At 36.4% G+C, this 19,827-nt stretch overlaps 1 protein-coding gene across 19 annotated transcripts in view; it reads left to right on the top strand.

Annotated features, from left to right (window-relative positions):
* The window catches only part of FOCAD (focadhesin), a 340,326-nt gene that overhangs the window by 218,306 nt on the left and 102,193 nt on the right, over positions 1–19,827 (top strand). For all 19 annotated transcript variants that reach the window (XM_047423537.1, XM_047423539.1, NM_017794.5 and 16 more), the window contains 3 exons: positions 751–877; positions 7,941–8,126; positions 11,179–11,300. In XM_047423537.1, coding sequence (XP_047279493.1) covers positions 751–877; positions 7,941–8,126; positions 11,179–11,300 — 435 coding nt within the window. The remainder of the gene's footprint in view (positions 1–750; positions 878–7,940; positions 8,127–11,178; positions 11,301–19,827) is intronic.

Consider the following 19,827-nt stretch of genomic DNA (forward strand, 5'->3'; position numbering starts at 1 on the left):
GTGGACATTATGATAGAGTGTCATTGAAGGTATTAAAAATGTAATTAATTGCTTAACAGTTATATCTTGTGAAAACAATGTGGAAATCTTTTTACATTTTTAATTTTTGGTTCAAACAAACCTAACTAATCAAAGAGCAGCCACAAAAATCCTCAAAATGCAAATTAGACACAATAATGTACAGCTACCAATTACAGATTTTAGTGTTTTTGTATTCCACAGCAACAAACTGCCAAGTCTTAAAAAAAAAGAAGTCAACTAAAGCATTCTGTTGTTCCCTGAGCTCTACTGTATATTCTACTGGAAGATTTTAAGCTCTGTCATGGACATATGACTAGAATCACAAATTTTTTAAAAAGTGTTCAGACAAGGCAAATATCTAACTATGAGCTATAGAAGTTAAATATATTGAGTATGTCAGTGTTTGCATTTTATTTTTGGATGGTATAGAATTTTATTAGTTTTCTATAATAATCATTGCTTATACTGGCTTACAGTGATTTACTGTATTAACATAAGCTTTTTATACAGATCTGAGATTGTATCTAATAAGATGACTAGAGTCATGACCATTTAGTTAATCTAAAAAATGAATAGATTTTTAAAAAATTAATTTCAGTGGTCTTTTATGTTATAGAGTGATGGAGTCTAACAAAATTTTAAAATCTTGTCACAAAAAAGGATACAGAAAAGATTTTGCATAATGTTTTATTATTATCCTCTCTATGATCTTTTCGCTTATCATTTCAGATAAGACCAGAAATTCCCATTCCTGAAGAGTTAGATGACGATGAAGATGTTGAGGATGTGGATCTTTCAGTTCCTGGCTCTTGCTATCTCAAACTGTTGTCACTCACTCCCCCTTTGGTTTTACCAGGTGACTCCTATTTGGTAGTAGAGAAGCTAGCATTTTTTAGTGGTTCGATTTGTCTGATTGTATTCTTTTGTGATAGGTACATAGTATAGTTTAACCTTATGTGCTTATTTTTTAACCAGAATGTTAAATGCACCCATCTGTTCTATTGAAACAGCTTGAGGTAGTATGGTGTTTAAATCATACGAAAAAACGTTACATCTGAGTAGGATTGAACAAGAAAACTAGTGTAAACAATTGTGTTCACTGATAATTAAAATTCATTTAAAAGGCTAAATGTATTCCACAAGATGAATTTGCACTGGTACTCTAGGTCATTGATTTAAACAATACTTCTTTCTTACATAAGCCAAGTGAAAAGATCATTAGACTATTCAGAGATTTACTGAGTAGTTTCATTATTATACATTTATTCTTTCTATAGAGTTATGCCAAAGATGTTACTGATATTTATTTCAGAGCTATAAATTAATGCTTTTAAAAGATGGATCAAATTGTATGGTCATTCAGCTTTGATGTAAAGCTTATAGGGCCTTTATCTTTTAAAAAGTAGGCTGGGTATGATGGCTCACGCCTGTAATCCCAACACTTTGGGAGGCTGAGAGAGGCAGATTGCTTGAGGTCAGGAGTTAAATACAAAATTAGCCTGGTGTGGTGGTGCATGCTGTAGTTCCAGCTATTTGGGTGGCTGAGGCACAAGAATCACTTGAAGCTGGGAGGTGGAGGTTGCAGGGAGCTGGGATCATGCCACTGCATTCCAGCCTAGGTGACAGCCTAGGTGACAGCCTAGGTGTCTCAAAAAAAAAAAAAAGTATTCTAATGCTTATATGTGGTAATTATTCTATATGTATATTGTGTTTAGAAGTACTCACTTGCCCCTATTACTATATGCCCTACCCAAGAAATGGTAGACGATACCATTTGAAAAATATGTTTGATTGTGGACTGTGATTAGGAACTTACATTATTTTATTTTGAATGTTATTTTCTGATCATTAAAAAGTTATTTACAAATTCCTCAAGTGATTTATTGTGATTAAGTAGCTTTTCTATATTAGACAACATCTTGCTTAGTTTTGTTACAATTCTACTTTGAATGTTCGTGGATATAAAAATTTAATTTCTGGAAATGAAGTTCAATCAAAACAAGAAAGGTCATGTTATTTTCTCAGTCATAACCATACTAGCCTGTAATGTTGGAAGTTTTTTCCTCTGGTTTCATCCCACATGGAAATTCCTGTGAAATTCAGCCAAATATATACTATTTATTTCTAGACAAAGCTCCTTTTACAGTTCCCTGCCTCCTTTTATTAGAGAAAACTGAATGGCCAAGTTAGACAAAGAGATCACCTTTTCTCTTCTCCTGATATCTAGAAAGAAGCCTCAAAGACTTGTTCACTCTTCCTCTCTTCTGTTCTTCCCCACTTCCTACCTCTTAGCTTTTCAGAGTCTAAGGCCTCCCTGAAGTTAACATGAGTCCAAGGAAGGAAAAAGCCTTCAGTTATCCAAAGTTCTTTCTTTAACCTGAAATAACCTAGAGTCAGAAGTCCTTTGGGGCTTTTTAAATGATTTTTTTTTCACTTGTACATGTATCCCCCATCACAGTCTCTGGTGTTAGAAAGAGAAGTGGGGGAATATTTGTTGCCAAGGGGTGCTGTTGTTTGTCTTCTCAGTACAGAATGTGCAGTGCTATGATGGCTATTACCTGGATCTTCTACATTGTTTGTCCTTGGTGGTTCTCAGTGCCTTCGACTGAGAAAGAAGGGGAAGAGTTGAGATCGACAACTGTATTTGTTTGAGAAAATTTAGTAATTTGAGTGAGGTGGGTGATCTAGATGCTATGTTGGCAAACTGTCACCATGGACATTTTTTCGTTGATTATTAGAGAAGTATAAAAAGTGTCCCTTTGATTATTACAGAACTAGAAAAAGAACCAGGAAAAAGTCACCAGCCTTAGGAATATATACCCTAAAATGCACAGGATGAATGATATATATTAGTCACCAAATGCTACAGACAGAAAAGTGGGTTGTGCTGAATTTAAGTGAATCCTGCCCCTTTCTCCTTTTAATTCCTTTCAAATGAACACAAAAGCAGCTGTAAAGTGAATCCAGGAATTTGCATTATTTAAATAGAGATGTTACTGCTATTGATTATTAAAAAATAGTTTTGAAATAATTTTACACTTCCAAGAAGTTGCAAAAACAGTTTAGAGAGTTCTGTGTACCTTTTTTGACCTGGTGCTCTAGTTGATAACATCTCACATAACCATAGTATGATATTAAAACCAGAAAATTGACATTGGCACAATATTACTAACTTAAACTATAGACCGATGTGAATTTTATAGGGTTTTCTCCCCCAGTATATAAACTTAAGGGATTAGCTATTTCTTTCCCCGTCAAGTGTCCTTGAGGGGTTTGGGCCATCACCCTGAAAGACCAAATCCCGAATAGCATAATTGTAATTGCCGAAATCCTGAAAGATTAAAATATCTAAAGTCTAAAATCCTCAAAATCACAATTCTGAAATCTCAAAAATGTAATTCTAGAAAAATAATAAAATGTTCTTTAAAAGATGTTTATTTACATTTTAAAAGGCAATTTACTTGAGAAACATAAAAACACAGCAGAGCACTTCATAGATCACTTTACACAATAAAATAGGCAAAGTAATGTACATATTTTTGCAATCATAAACAGGTATACTAACAACAGCCACAATCTAACAATTATGAGCAGATGAACTGTATTCATAAACAAATAGCCCTCAAAACAATATGTATAAATGCTTATCACTATGACTGGTGGTTGTGGGCTCCCAGGTTTGTAACTGCAGTCACCGGAAATACTCTGATGCACAACTGAAGTCTTTTGACAAAATCATTCGAAAACCTCAAGCTCGAGACCAGCCTGGCCAACATGGTGAAACCCTGCCTCTACCAAAAATACAAAAATTAGCCGGGCATGGTGGCAGACACCTGTAATTCCAGCTACTTGGGAGGCTGAGACGAGAGAGTCGCTTGAACCTGGGGCAGAGGTTGCAGTAAGCCAACATTGCACCACTGCACTCCAGTCTGGGCAACAGAGAGACTCCATCTCAAAAAAACAAACAAACAAACAAAAACCCCAACGGGTTACCACTCTTTATGCAGTCACTCAAAGAATTGAGATCTCGAGATATTTTATGTTTCACAAATGCAGATATACAAAAATGACATCTCTACTTATTGTGGAAGTTTCAACATTTTTACATACATACACAATACTTACACACAAAGTCAGTGTTGTGATAATGCACTTTTGTGGAGTCATATTTGTAAAAAAAAAAATGCATAAAACCAATTAGAACTCTTTAGAAGTCTTTATACAATTTGTACTTCCAGTATCGGAAAAGATGCAAAAATGAAATACATAGCATAGCAAGTTGGCACTATGTGTGAAGGGGCGGAAGTTGTACATGATTAAATAATTTGGCAGGGGAGATTTCTTGTGTTTTTTGCCTGCGTTTTCATTTCTGTGATCTTCAAAATGTGAACTGTACTTGTATTTGGAGAGTGGTTGTGGTCTAGAAATTTGGTGAGTATATATTCTCCATCTGAAAGTCTAGTTATTGCTCGGCCATTGGAAATAAGCAATTTTCTGCTTTTGCTGCATCAATAATAATTAACTTTCGAACTTCTTTCACCATTAAGTAGCCTTGTACACATAACTTATCACAACCCCTTTTCGTGAGAGAACAATTTCGCATATCTCTTCCACTCTGTTGTAAGGAATATAGTAAGAAGGAATTGTATTTGGCTTCTCCAATACCAAATCTATTTTAGTCACATTTCTTCTGAAAGACAGAATCAATAGGACATGTATATAGATATATGAGGGGACCGATTAGGATAATTGGCTTACATGATTACAGTAGCTAAGTTGTGTGACAGACTATCTGCAAGCTGGAGACTGGGATTCTGGTAGTGTGGCTCCATTCAAGTCCGAAGGCTTCAGAACCTGGGAAGTGGGTGGTGTAACTCTCAATCTGAGGCCAAAAGCCTCAGGACCCAGGGGGCTGCTGGTGAAAGTCCTGTAGTTTAAAGGCTGTTGAGCCTGGAGTTCTGATGTCCAAAAGCAGCAGCAGAAGCCTGTCCCAGCTCTCATAGAGAGTTCACCTTCTGCATTTGTTCTCTCTGGGTCTCTGGACAATTGGATGGTGCCCATCAACATTGAGGGCAGATCTCCCCTGTACACTACTCAGACTCACATACTAATCTCCTCTGGAAATACCCTCACAACCCCCAACCCCAAATAATGCTTTACCAGGTTTCTAGGTATTCCTTAAGCCAGCCAAGTTGACACTTAAGTTCACAAGTTCACCCCTTGTCAACTGGCACCCATACACATCTCCTTAACTTCCAAATAAAGACAGTAACAAGGTAATAGTTCTGCCTAACAGATGCAACTATCCTGTGTACAACTGAAAATGCACTAATTCCCTCCCCAGGATTAGGCTTTCAGGATTTCAACATTTGGGATTTTAACCTTTTGGGATTGTGATTTTGGGGATTTTAGATGTTAGGAAGTTTAGACTTAAGGGATTTTGATCTTCCAGAATTTCAGCATTTGGGATTATGGTGTGTGGGACTGTGTCTTTTGGGATTATTATTAGCACTAGTTTTTTATATTTATTCCAAATAGTTACCTGTATCAATTGTTTTTTCTTTTTTATTGCTGACTGGCATTCCATTGTGTGAATGTAACACAGTTTGTTGATCCATTCAGCTGTTGAGGACATTTGGGTTGTTTTGAGAATTTATGTCTGACACTTTGTGTCCTACGAATTTTCAGCTTCTTTTTAAATTCCCATCTGGTCATTGGTAAGAAAGAGATTGGGGAAAGCTCAAAAGCAACGAGAAAAATTCTAGTTGCTAACTTAGTATTTACGGGAAGATGAAGCTCTATACATCAACTACACTTAGCCTCCTGGCATCTTATCCTCATTTAAATTAATCCCTGGGCTGGTGTTAGGTAAACATCTGTAGTTCACTGTAGAGCTTGGTAAGTAGAAAACTTCCATTGCTGGGTTAGTCTATGTGCAGATATGTTCTTGCCCCTTGACATGTTTCACCTTTTGCCAGAATAGGATCCTTCTGAGAAAGGAAGAAATTACTTTCTTTCATCATAGTGCCTCTACCCTCACAAACAGTTGATTCATAGCTGCATTCTGTAAAGTCTATAATTATACCCACTTTGAAGCAGTCCCTGTGTATGTGTATGCAGAAATTGGGGTACATGGCCTGCAATCGGATATTACTCATCTGTTTTGTGTAAATGATGTATTGATCACTGTTATGACAAGAAAGGGTGGGGGATACATTCAGATTGAGTAATTGGAGAGAGTTTAATAAAGAACCTATTTACAGTTGTGTTGTCAAGGTTAAGGGAAACTCACAAGAGATGGTAAACCGTCTCAGAGTGCTTAATGTCTCTGGCCTACAGAGATAACGGGAGGAAGAAGAAAGAGTATCTGTATTATAAATTGGGGTGCCTAAGGGGAGCCAAGACTTTCAGAAGAGGAATGCAGGCAACCTGTAGCAATCCTGCAAGAAGCCCTGTGTCTGGGGAATACATCTCCTGACTTCACTGTTTTCACCCTTTGATGTCCTGCCAGTGACTCCAGTGGTTGAAACCAACCAGAAGCCAGAGGACATGGGAGCCTGTTAATGCCTTTCTTTAAAGACTGTTTTTCCAGAGCACAGAGCAGGGTTGAGAAGGATAGAGGATAGATAAGAAGGAGTAAATGGAAAACGTCACATATTGGTGTTTTTGAGCTTTGAATGGAGAATCTTGATTGCATCTAGGAGGGTCCTGTCAGAAATGGGTATATAATAGACGGTCCAGTGAGCTCTTGCTGCCTTTAATTTAATCATATTCATTTAAAGGAGACTTTTAGATAGATCTCTTCAGAATGAAATTCCAGTTAGGTGGACCCTTGCTTTTTGTTTCTGTAAGAGCCACATGCAGTGGTTTTCTTTTTTCATTTTCCGCTACATATGATTTGTTTAGCTTTAATGTTTTTTGTTTTTTTGTTTGTTTCTGTATTGGGCAACCTCTAGTGGTCCTTAGGAAAATCACATTTGAATATGAACCTATAGTCTTATCAAATATTTTGTTTATACATCCTGTTGTCTTCTGACATCATATTTCTGTTATTATATAGTAAGTAAAATGTCAAATGATAAAGATCTTGGGCTTAATTAGAAAGAACACAAGCAAAGATAGTGGACAAATATCTCATTTTAAAATAATTGTCCTAATATTGCTAAGTATAGATAGTTATGAAAGAGGTTTTTCTGAAAACACTTAAATGATAAGAAGGAGCCATTCTCATGAAAATGTGGGACTGATATGTTCCAGGTGGAAGGGATAGCAAATGCAGTGGCACTGACTTAAATATCAACTTTGTGTTTTTGAGGAATGGAAAGAGGCCATATGTAAGTGTGACTTCAACATAGCAAGGAGGTAGGGTATTAGACATTAACTCTGAGGGGGAGTCAGGGCTAGATTATAAAAGGTCTTGATCATGGTCAGAAGTTGTGATTTTATTTTATGCACAGTGAAAAGCAACTGGAAGGTGTTAGGGACAGGAATGACAAAATTCTGGCCTCTGGGCAGAGGAAGGTTTATAGAGGATGGTCAAGAGGAAAAGAATTCAGTAAACTAGTTTTTACATTAGTTTGTATGAGGAGGACAAAAGATAATAAGTAGATAAATAGCAGTGAAAAATGGAGAGAAACTGATGGATTTGGGATAGATTTTGAAGGTGGAATCAGAAGGACTTGCTAATGGATTACATGTAATAAGTGAGGGAAAGAGAGGAATTAAGCTTGAGCAACTTGGTGCCATGTTCTAATTTGGAGGAAGACTAAGAAAGGGATAGGTATCAAGAGGTCTCTTTTTACCATGTAAGGTTTGGCCAGAAATGTAGCTTAGTTGTTTGTATATGAGTTAAGAACGCATGTTTCTCTTCTAGCTTATTGTATTTACTCTACTTTTGGTCTCCTTTTATCCTCTTTTAGCTTTGGAGGAATTTTTTACATCACTTGTGAAGCAAGAAATGGTGAATATGCCTCGTGGGATATATCACTCTGCATTAAAAGGAGGTGCCCGCTCAGACCAAGGAAAGACTGTAGCAGGAATCCCCAATTTTATATTGAAAATGTATGAAACAAACAAGCAACCAGGACTGAAACCTGGCCTTGCAGGTAAGGGTAGTACATAGTATCAAAAATACAGGTTTTTCATGTAATGATTTAACTTCCACTTTCAAGTAGGATATAATGGGCCATGGCAGGGTGTTGCTGCTGCTACTAACATGTGGATAAATTATAAAAATCATCGCACTTTAAAAGACATCGCAGAACTGTAGAAGCAAAGACAAATAGATGGATTTAAGTTTCAGAGTCAGCATAACATTTTAGAACTGTTTTCTCCCCACCTTGGGGGATACCCACTCAGCCCAGAGGCATGGCCTGTTGGAAGAAAGAGAAACTAGAGGAGCTTTTAGTGATTGCCTGGGACTAGGGCGACAAATTAGAGATTTTTCTCACAGGACATTTGCTGAATTTTGAATTTGCACCAAGAGCTAAAGAGCTAGGCTGAAAGCTTCTGAAAGGCAAAGTGAAATCCCTTTTAGTCTTCTGATGCTTAGGAAACAAAGACGAGCTAGGAGAATGGGCTTGAAAAAACAGCATGCAAGAGGTAAAAGCCCAAGAGAGAATGGTGAATTGATACTGAAGATCTGCAACTGCTCTCACCTGGGTGAACTTACTAATTCTGGCCACAGCTGGAATCTGAGCATTCAGCCTCAACTTTATTGAGAAGCTGGTGAGGAGGTGGAGAAACCAGCAGACATCTTGGCAATCATGTGGAGCAAGAGTGACACAACTCAGAACTTGAGTGACCTTGAGCACAAGGCCAATTTCTCTCAAGTTATTTGCGACATTTTGAAGCTTTATGGGATGGAAAGCTAAAGAGCTAAGCTGAAAATTTCTGAGAGCAGACCTAAATCTCTCATAATTTTTTCAGATTGAGGAGTCAAAGACTCATTAGACTGCCAATTAGTGGGGGGTGTTGTGGGGAGATATACCCTGGCAAAGGAGTGAACCAGAGCTGGACTCAAATTACAAAAGTTATAATCAGTCCTAACCCAGATCAATTCCTGATTAGGTTGAGGTAATCAGTCCTTCACCCAGTCTGCCTAACAGAGGAGAGAGGAAAACTACTCTTTGATTGACAATAACACCATTTAGTACTTCTGTGGTTCTTTCATATACTGCACTAGACACAGGACAAAGGAAGAAGCTGGAAATGAAGGGAATGATTCCTGGAGATAAAGAAGTCACTCTCTTTGGAAAATATCAATTCTAACTGGCCTACATGAAATAACATACTTTCAAAATATATGACAAAAATGAGTAGAACTAAAAGAGGAAATAGACAAACCCACAATAATAATGGAAACTTTAAAATATCTTTTTCAGTAGCTGGCAGAGCAAGGAGACAAGAAAATCTATAAGATCACAAAATATCTGAACAATCTATGAACAAACTACTGTATAGACATGTAGAACATTGTACCTTATAGTGATAGAATTTATATATCTTTTAACTGTACATGGAAAATTTACCAAAATGACCATACGCTGGACCACAAACTTCAATAAATTTCAAGATATTGAAGTCACTTAGAGTTTGTCCTCTGATGACAATGGGATTAAGCTAGAAATAAATAACAAAAATGATTACCATGATATCTCCAGTTGGCTGAAAATTGAACAGTATACTTATAAGTAATGGATGGATCAGAGAAAAGAATCAAAATGGAAATGAGAAGATAGTTTGAAGTGAATGATAATGAAGATAAGCCATATAACAACCTGTAGGTTGCAGCTAAAATAGTATTTTTAAACACTGTTTCCCCTCTAGGGAAATTCACACTTTCAATGTATATTTTAGAAAAGAAAGGAAAATAATCAGTATTTAAACTTCCAACTCAAGAAGCTTGGAAAAGAACAGCAAATCAAACTTAAAGGATCAGGGAAGAAATAATAAAGATAATAAAACTCAGTGCAATAAAAAACATAAATAAGCTGGAGGTTCAGCTGAGAGCTTAACTGACCGTTGTGGAAAGGGCAGGGAGAAGAGGGAGAGTGAGTGTATGTGAATACAGGAATGAGGGAAAGCTTGTCCACTTTTGAGTATAAACTAAAGGGACCCATGTTATCATGTGTTCATGAAGATTAATATGTGCAAGTATTTCTCTTTAATTGAAATTTTTAAAAAACTTAATAGAATCTCTAGAACTAAACAGTTCACAAAGTCAAGACTTGCAAATTTGTTCATTTATTTATACTTATACTTATTTACTCATAAGTAAATTGTAAATAATATTTTACATGTGATCTTAACTAAAAAGCTATGAGTCAATAAGTAATATACTATATTATATTACGTTTATATTTTGAGACAGAGTTTCTCTTGGTTGCCCAGGCTGGAGTACAGTGGCACAATCTCAGTTCACTGCAACCTCCACTGCTAGTTCAAGTGGTTCTCCTGCTTCAGCCTCCCGAGTAGCTGGGATTTCAGGTGTTCGCCACCATGCCTGGCTAATTTTTGCGTTTTTAGTAGAGATGGGGTTTCACCATGTTGACCTGGCTGGTCTCAAACTCCTGACCTCAAGTGATCTGCCTACCTTGGCCTCCCAAAGTGCTGGGATTACAGGTGTGAGCCACCGTGCCTGTCCCAATAGTATTTTAAATATTAGCTTTTTAAATCTCTTGTGTTTTTTTATTCCTTATATATAAATGGTCAAAAATCATAATTTGCTTAACAAGTTAGCTTTTAGTTATAAATATCTCTATCCAGATTGATTATCAGTTACTGAGAATCTAATTAGTAAAGTTTTTCCATAAGAAATGTCTTTGTAAGCTGGGCGCGGTGGCTCACACCTGTAATCCCAGCGCTTTGGGAGGATGAGGCAGGCGGATCATGAGGTCAGCAGTTAGAGACCAGCCTGGCCAATATGGTGAAACCCTGTCTCCACTAAACTTAAAAAATTAGCCGGGCATGGTGGCACACGCTTGTAGTCCCAGCTACTCAGGAGGCTGAGGCAGAAGAATCCCTTGAACCCAGGCGGCGGAGGTTGCAGTGAGCTGAGATTGCACCACTGCACTCCAGCCTGGGCAACAGAGTGAGATTCTGTCTTAAAAAAATAAAAATAAAAATAAAATAAAGTCTATATAATTTTTTTTAAAGGTGGTATGTTATTTTGCTATGATGTTTCCATGTATCAGAGTAAAGATGGAAAACCATTGAACAGACTGATGGCCAGCAGAGGGCGAAGTTTCAAGCAGACTTCACTTGCTCTTGTACATGAGGTAGGTTCCCGTGTCCTCTTCTTTATGTTTTAGTGTTTTCTCCCTTCATGATATGTTTAAGAAGTTGTTTGTTTAGAAATAATTTTTTTGATCATAATTAATGTAAGTTGCTTTTAAAGGCCACCAAAATAGTTGACCCAACTGAATACTCAAATATTTCAATGTATTTCTGAAAGAAACTGCCATGTTTTCCCCCACTGCCCAGCGTATTTATTAGGGAGTAATGTCTAGGAATTTGCTTTACTTCATCAATGCTTAACTGTCATTATTCAGAATAAATATCAATTTATTGTTTAAAGAAATGCTACTGCCTATATCTTAATTCTAATCCTTTGCAATTATGTAGGGGACCAGTGTTTGTATTTTGTGAGTGTTTGGAATTAAAAGTAAATAAAAGCATTTTAGAAAAATAACCCTTGGTTTTAATGTTTATTTTACTTTTCCTTTCAGCTACCTTTTAAAAATAAAGTTCTGTGATTCTATTAGATGATTTATATGAAATCTGATTATTGCAGATTATGGCAAAACCAGGGGAAGAGGGAAGCTGGAAAGTCCTTGGGAAATGTATTTTTATTGTTTTTAAATATTTTATCACACTTACTCATATGATGTATACAAATTAAAATGTATGAATGAATAACAAAACAAAATGTCACAGCAAAGAGATTTATATAGTTCAGACATAGTAGGTTATATATCAGTTATAAGTAAAAATATATGAATTGTAAAGATTTAATGAACTTGATGTAAAAATAATTAGCATTTCTAAAATATCTTTCTATAACATCTTATTTTGATGCCTAATTTATACATTTGGTTGTAATTAATTTGATTCACTTTTATTCTGTATCACACCAATTGCCACCAGTTTCATAGCACAGCAAAATTCAGAGGGTTTTTCAAGACCCATCTTTGTCCTTTGCCATCCATTTTCCTTTCATATATTTAGTTAGAATTAAAATTGTGTAAATACTTGTTTCAGAAGCTTTTTTTTTGCCTAATATAGTGTCTTCATTCAACTAAAAAGAGAAGAAGGATCTGGGAAGAGCAACGCTTTTCTAGGAGGAAGGTTTAATTTCAGACATAGGTGATTTCTATGTTTTTTTTGTCCCTGGCATCTCATTAGTTGGCATAGAGAAGGGAGAAACGTGGTACCTTTTTGTGTTTTAAGCTGTGCACTTAGATATTTGAAGGAAAACTGAAGTCTAAAGTCTTACTGAAAAGCTGATTTATAATAAAAAGTCACCATCAGAACAGAAACAAGAAAAAGCATTAGTGCAGGGGATGGCAGAAGACATCTGATAACTTTTGGCAGTGGCATCAGAAGTTATGAGGTGTGTCCGAGATATAAGCACAGAAAATCTTTGGGTTAAGATACTTGTTGCTTGTGCTGTAGAGAGTCTAGAAAATTTCAAAGGGAAAAGAAAATAACATCATTGTTTTAGGGGTCAATTAGAAGGCGTATTGGACAGAATTCTGCCAAATGTATAGTAGGATTTTAGACTGGATTCCATATTCTGCTCAGTATATGTAGTTCATTTGCTTAAAACACAAAGGCTGGGGGACCCATGAAGTTTCTCAAACTATGTGACAAGAAATAATATGAACTTTCAGAGCTGGTTAATAAAAATAATTGCAATAATAACAGCTAATAATCGATTTAGATACTTTCAACACTGTGAGGTAGGTGCTGTTAATGTGTCAAGGTCACATAGCTAACAAGTAGAGGAGCCTGGAAATTGAACCCAGGCAGTGAGGCTCCATAGTCCTTGAACTGTCATCTTCTCTCCCAGGTTAATCAGAGAAGATTCTAGAAATACATTTGGATTTTTCCAAGATTACTCTAAGCTCTCTTAAATCATCTCCTTGCATCTTGTCTTTCTTTTGTTGCAATCAATTTGGGATTTTTCCAGATGAAATTTCTTCAAACCCTGCTTTTGATCCTCCCATTACTTTATCCTGAGTCTTTTTTATTTCCAAGTATTTCTTCTTTCTTTCCTTTTTCTTTCTCTTTTTTTTTTTGAGATGAAGTCTCACTCTGCTGTCCAGGCTGGAGTGCAATGGTGCAATCTCGGCTCACTGCAACCTCTGCCTCCTGGGTTCAAGGGATTCTCCTGCCTCAGCCTCCCGAGTAGCTGGGATTACAGGCATGCGCCACCACGCCCAGCTAATTTTTGTATTTTTAGTAGAGATGGAGTTTTACCATGTTGGCCAGGCTGATCTCGAACTCCTGACCTCAGGTGATCCACTTGCCTCGGCCTCCCAAAGTGCTGGGATTACAGGCATGAGCCACTGTGCCCAGCCATATTTCCAAGTATTTCTTGAGAATTGCAGTTTGTTTATTAATTCACCAGTTGATGGACCTTCGGGTTTTTTCTGTTTTCAATGATTAAGACTAAAGTTTCTATAAACATTCTCATACAGATCCCTGTGTGAACATTCATTTTTCTGTTTCTTTTCAGTAAACAAATACCTAGGAGTGAGAGTGCAACGTCATGTGGTAAATTCATATATAACTTTATAGGAAACTATCAAACTGTTTTCCTAGTGGCTGTCTTATTTTGAATGCCCATCTGCAAGGTATGAGAGTTTCAGTTGCTCTGCCTTCTTGTCAGTGCTTGATATAGTCAATTAAAAAAATTTAGCTATTCTTGTAGATGAGTAGTATTAGTTTCCCTTTGTGGTTTTAATTTGTGTTTCCTTAATAACTAATGATGTTGAAGCATCTTTTCATGTGTTTATTTTGTATGTATCTGTTTTCTTCCTGAAGTGTTTGCTCTGATCTTCTGCCCATTTTTAGAATTGGGGCTTTTGTTTTCAAAAGAGTGTTCTTTATATATTCTGGATATTTTTTTTTTTTTTACTTAGTGTGTTACATGTCTTTTCATTTTCTTTTTTTTTTTTTCTTCTTTTTTTTTTTTTTTTTGAGATGGAGTCTTGCTCTGTTGCCCAGGCGGGAGTGCAGTGGTGCGATCTCAGCTCACTACAACCTCCGCCTCCTGGGCTCAAGCGATTCTCCCACCTCAGTCTCCTAAATAGCTGGGATTGCAGGTGTGCACCACCATGCCCGGCTAATTTTTGTATTTTTAGTAGAGACGGGGTTTCACCATGTTGGTCAGGCTGGTCTCAAACTCCTGACCTCATGATCCATCTGCCTTGGCTTCCCAAAGTGCTGGAATTACAGGCGTGAGCCACTGCGCCTGGCCTTCATTTTTTTATAATGTATTTTGAAGAGTGGACTTTTCATTTTGAAGAATTTCAACTTACCAAATTTTACAAAATGGTTCTTGCTTTTTGTTTAATCCGAGATTACAAAAATTTTTCATTTTCTTTTTTCCTGTGTTTTATTTTTATTCTTTTAAATTACTTTTAGAAATTGAGGTATGGTATGGTTTGGCTACGTCCCCATCCAAACCTCATCTTGAAATGTAATGCCTACATGTTGCGGTAGGAACCCAGTGGGAGGTGACTGAATTATGGGGGCGGGTCTTTCCTGCACTGTTCTCATGATAGTGAATGAGTCTCATGAGATCTGATGGTTTTAAAAACGTGAGTTTCCCTGCACACCCTCTCTCTTTGCCTACTGCCATCCATTTAAGATGTGACTCGCTCCTCCTTGCTTTCTGCCATGATTTTGAGGCCTCTGCAGCTATGTAGAACTGTAAGCTTATTAAACCTGTTTCTTGTGCAAATTACCCAGTCTTGGGTATGTCTTTATCAGCAGTGTGAAAGTGGACTGATACAAGGTGTGATACATATACCATAAAATTTACTTATTTAAAGTATACAACTCAGTGGTTTTCAGTGTATCCACAGAGTTGTGTAACCATTCCCACAAACAATTTTAGAACAATTTCATTACCCAGAAAAGAAACTGTGTACCCATTTGTAGTCACTCTTCATTTTCCCTTGTCCTTAGCTTTCAGCAGCCACTAATCTACTTTCTGCCTCTGTAGATTTGCCTATTCTGGACATTTCATATAAATACCATCATACAATACATGGTTTTTAATGTCTGGCTTCTTTCACTTAGTATAATGTTTTCAGGGATTTTCCATGTTGTAGCATGTATTAGTACTTCATTCTTTTTTGTGTGAGAATAATACTTCTCTGCATGGATATACCACATTTAATTTATCCATCTTTCAGCTAATGGATCTCCTTCTGTGTTTTCTTGTAGAAGTTTTACATTTTAAGGTTTACTTTTTAGCTTAGGTCCATTTGAGTTAATTTTTGTATAATGTATGTGTTATTTGTTGAAAATACCATCTTTTATTCACTGAATTACCTAGGCACTTCTGCAAAAATCACTTGCCCATATATGTTTGGGTCTATTTCTGTACTCACTTTTGTTCCATTGAGATCTGTAGATTTGTGCTTTCACCGCAATGACATACATAGCTGAATAACTTTCGCTTTATAATGTCTTGAAATCAAGTAGTATGAGTCTTCCAACTTTGTTTCATGTTTCAAAAAAAGTTCTGACTATGCTAGATCTCTTGCTTTTCTATATGAATTTTAAACCAGTTTTAAGAAACCACAAAAAAGTTTGCTGATTTCAATGGTAAATGCATTGAATTTGTAGGTCAACTTGAGAGAGGACTGACATCTTGGTAATAGAGTATCTAGACCCATGAACAAGGTATAATTGTCTATGTTGATTTTTTTTGTATTATAAATCTTGGACATATTTTGTTAAAGTTCGTAAGTATTACATATCCCTAAGTATTTTGATGCTATTCAAATTGGACTTTTTATTTTAATTTTTTACTGTTTATTGCTAGTTTATAATCATCCAATTGATTTTTTCTATGACCTTACTAAACCAACTTATATATTCTTACAGTCTTTTTGTAAATTATTTTTGTTTTTCACTGTAATGTTGTCTATAAATAAAGATGCTTTTAATTTTTGCTTTTCTGATCTGTATGCCTGTCAATTGTTTTTATTGCTGGACTGCACTATCTAGGGCCATCATTACAGTGTTGAATAGGACTGATGAGAGTTAATATTCTTGTCTCGTTCACTTAGGGGAAAATATTCAGTGTTTCCCTGTTTAATATGATGTTTATATACAGATTTTGTCGACTTCCTTTGTCAGGTTGAAGAAGTTTCCTTCTAGTCCTAGATTTCTGAGAGGTTTTTTTTTTTTTTTAATCACAAATAGATGTTAAATTTTGTAAAATGCTTTTTCTGTATCAATTGAGATGATTCAACGCTTTTAAAATTTGTTGATATGATTACTTATTTTGATTGATTTTCTAATGTAAACCAACCTTGCATTCCTGGGATACACTCCGCTTGATCATAGCCTATTTATATATTGCTTCATTCTGTGTGCTAAAATTTTGTTAATAAGGATTTTTGCATCTGTGCTCATGAGACATGTTGTTCTGTAGTTTTCTTGTAGTAATTTTGCCTGGTTGTGTTATCAGGGTAATTTTGTCCAAATAAAGCAAGTTGTGTAGAGTTCCCCTCTTTTTTATTTCCCGAAATAGTTTGTATAGAATTGTTATTAATTTTTCCTTAAATGTTGGGTAGAATTCTCCAGTGAAAGCATCTTGGCATGGAGTTTTCTTTATAGGACTGTTTGTAACTGTGAATTCCATTTATTTAGTATACATGAGGCTATTTTTTTTTAATCTACCTATCTGTGTATCTACCTACAGACACACCTCATTTTGTTGCACTTTGCAGATACTGCATTTTTTACAAATTGAAGGTTCGTGGCAGCCCTGTATTGAGCAATTATCTAGGCACCATTTTTCCAATACCATATGCTTACTTCATGTCTCTGTGTCACATTTTGCTAACAAAATGTGAAATATTTCTTTTTTATCATCATGTCTGTTGTGATGATCTATGATTAATGATCTTTGAAGTTACGATTGTAATTGTTTTGAGGTATAACAAACTGTGCCCACATAGCACCATGAACTTCATAAATGTTGTGTGATTTTTTATTTCTTCACCAACCAGATGTCCCCCCAATTGGGCCTCCCTATTCTCTGAGACACAACAATATTGAAATTAGGCCAATTAATAACTACAATGGCCTCTAATTGTTCAAATGAAAGGAAGAGTTACATATCTACCACTTGAAACCAAAAGCTAGAAATGATTAAGATTAGCGAGGAAGGCATATTGAAAGCTGAGATAGGCTGAAAGCTAGGCTTCTTGCACCAAACAGCCAATTTTGAATGCAAAGAAAAGGTTCTTGAAGGAAATTAAATGTGCTACTCCAGTGAACACATGAGTGATAAGAAAGCAAAACAGCCTTATTGCTGATTTAGAGAAACTTTTAGTGGTTTGGATAAAGGAACGAACCAACCATAACATTCCCTTAAGCCAAAGTCTAATCTAGAGGAAGACTCTAACACTCTTTAATTCTGTGAAGGCTAAGAGAGGTGAGGAAACTGCAGAAGAAAAGTTTGAAGGTAGCAGAGGTTGGTTCCTGAGGTGTAAGGAAAGAAGCGATTTTCACAACACCAAAGTGCAAGTTGAAGCAGCAAGTGCTGATGTAAAAGCTGCAGCAAGTTATCCAGAAGATCTAGCTAGGATCATTGATGAAGATGGCTAAACTAACCAACACATTTTCAATGTAGGTGAAAGAGCTGTCTATTGGCAGAAGATGCCTTGTAGAAATTTTATAGCTGAAGAGAAGTCAGTGCCTGAAGGACAGGCTGGCTGTCTTGTTAGGGTCTAATGCAGCTGATGACTTAAGTTGAAGCCAGTTCAACTTTACTTAAAATTCTGAAAATCTGAGTGCTCTAAAGAATTACGCTGAATCTCTTCTGTGTTCTAGAAATGGGACAAGGCCTGGATGACAGCATATCTGTTTATACATGGTTTACTGAATATTTTAATCCCACATTAAGAACTACTGCTTAGAAAAAAAAAGATTCCTTTCAAAGTATTACTGCTAACTGACAATGCACCTAGTCACCCAATAGGTCTGATGGAGGTGTTCAAGGAGATGGAGTTGTTGTTATGACTGCCAACACAACATCCATTCTGCAGCCCATGGATCAAGGAGTAATTTTGACTTTCAAGTCTTATTTGAGAAATGCATTTTGTAAGGCTATAGCTGGCATAGATAGTGATTCCTCTGTTGGATCTGGGAGAAATAAATTGAAAACCTTCTGGAAAGGATTTACCATGTAGATGTCATTAAGAACATCCGTGATTTATATGAAGAGGTCAAGATATCAATGTTAACCAGTATTTATAAGAAATTGATTCCAGCCCTCTTGGATGACCTTGAGGGGTTCAAGATTTCGGTGGAGGAAGTCACTGCAGATGTGGGAGGGGTACCAAGAGAAGTAGAATTAGAAGTAGAGCCTGAGGATGTGACTGAACTGCTACCGTCATGAGGAGTTGCTTCTTAGGGATGAACAGAGTGGTTTCTTGAGATGGAATCTACTCCTGGTGAAGATGCTGTGAACATGTTGAACTGACAATGCAGGATTTACAATATTACATAAACGTACCTGATAATGTGGTATCAATGTTTGAGAGGATTGATTCCACCTTAGAGAGAAGTTCTATGGATGAAGCTATCAAACAGCATTGCATGATACAGAGAAATCTTTTGTGAAAGGAAACATTAAGCAATGGAGCAAACTTCATTGTTATCTTAAGAAATTGACACAGCCATCCCAACATTCATCAGCCACCCTAATCAGTTAGCAACCATCAACATCCAGGCAAGACCTTCCACTCACAAAAATATTAGGAGTTGCCAAAGATTTATATAATTATTTACATTTTTTAGCAGTCAAATATTTAAAAAAAAATTTTTAGTGATAGGACCTCACTATGTTGCCCAGGCTGGAGTGCAGTGACTATCCACAGGTGCAGTTACAGAACACTACAGCCTCCAACTCCTGGGCCCAAGGGATCCTTCCATCTCAGTCTCTTGAGTAGCTGGGACTACGGGTATGTGCCACCATGCCCAGCAGTAACAAAGTATTTTAAAACTAAGGTATGTACATTGTTTTTTTTAAATACATAATGCTGTTACATAATAGATTATAGTATAGTGTAAGCATAACTTTTATATCCACTGGGAAACAAAAAAAACTGTATGACTCTCTTTATTGGATTATTAGCTTTAATGCATTTGTCTGGGACCAAACCTGTCTGAGGTGTGCCTGTACTTCCTGTGTACATATAGTGGGATAGTTTTCCTTTTCCAAAAATGCTACTATTAAATTAGTGATAAATCTAATGATTGCGGTGGTCTTACTAAGAAATAGGATCTTACTGGCATGTGAATAAGCCCTTATGTACTGTTTGTGTTGTTATTCATTTCTATTAATAACAGCCCCTAAAGAATCCATATCCTTACAGGATATTCTATACCCTTCACAATGGCTACAACTACATGAGAGTGAGTGAGCGAGTGAATAAATGGCTAAAAGAACTTTATTTTGAATTTAGATGTGCTCTGTCCTCATTTGTAAAAACAGACTTTATTTTTTAGAGCAGTTTTAGGTTCACAGCAAAATTGAGAGCAATGTATGGA

Source organism: Homo sapiens, chromosome 9 (genome assembly GCF_000001405.40).
Source record: "Homo sapiens chromosome 9, GRCh38.p14 Primary Assembly".
In the NCBI taxonomy this organism is placed as follows: Eukaryota; Metazoa; Chordata; class Mammalia; order Primates; family Hominidae; genus Homo; species Homo sapiens.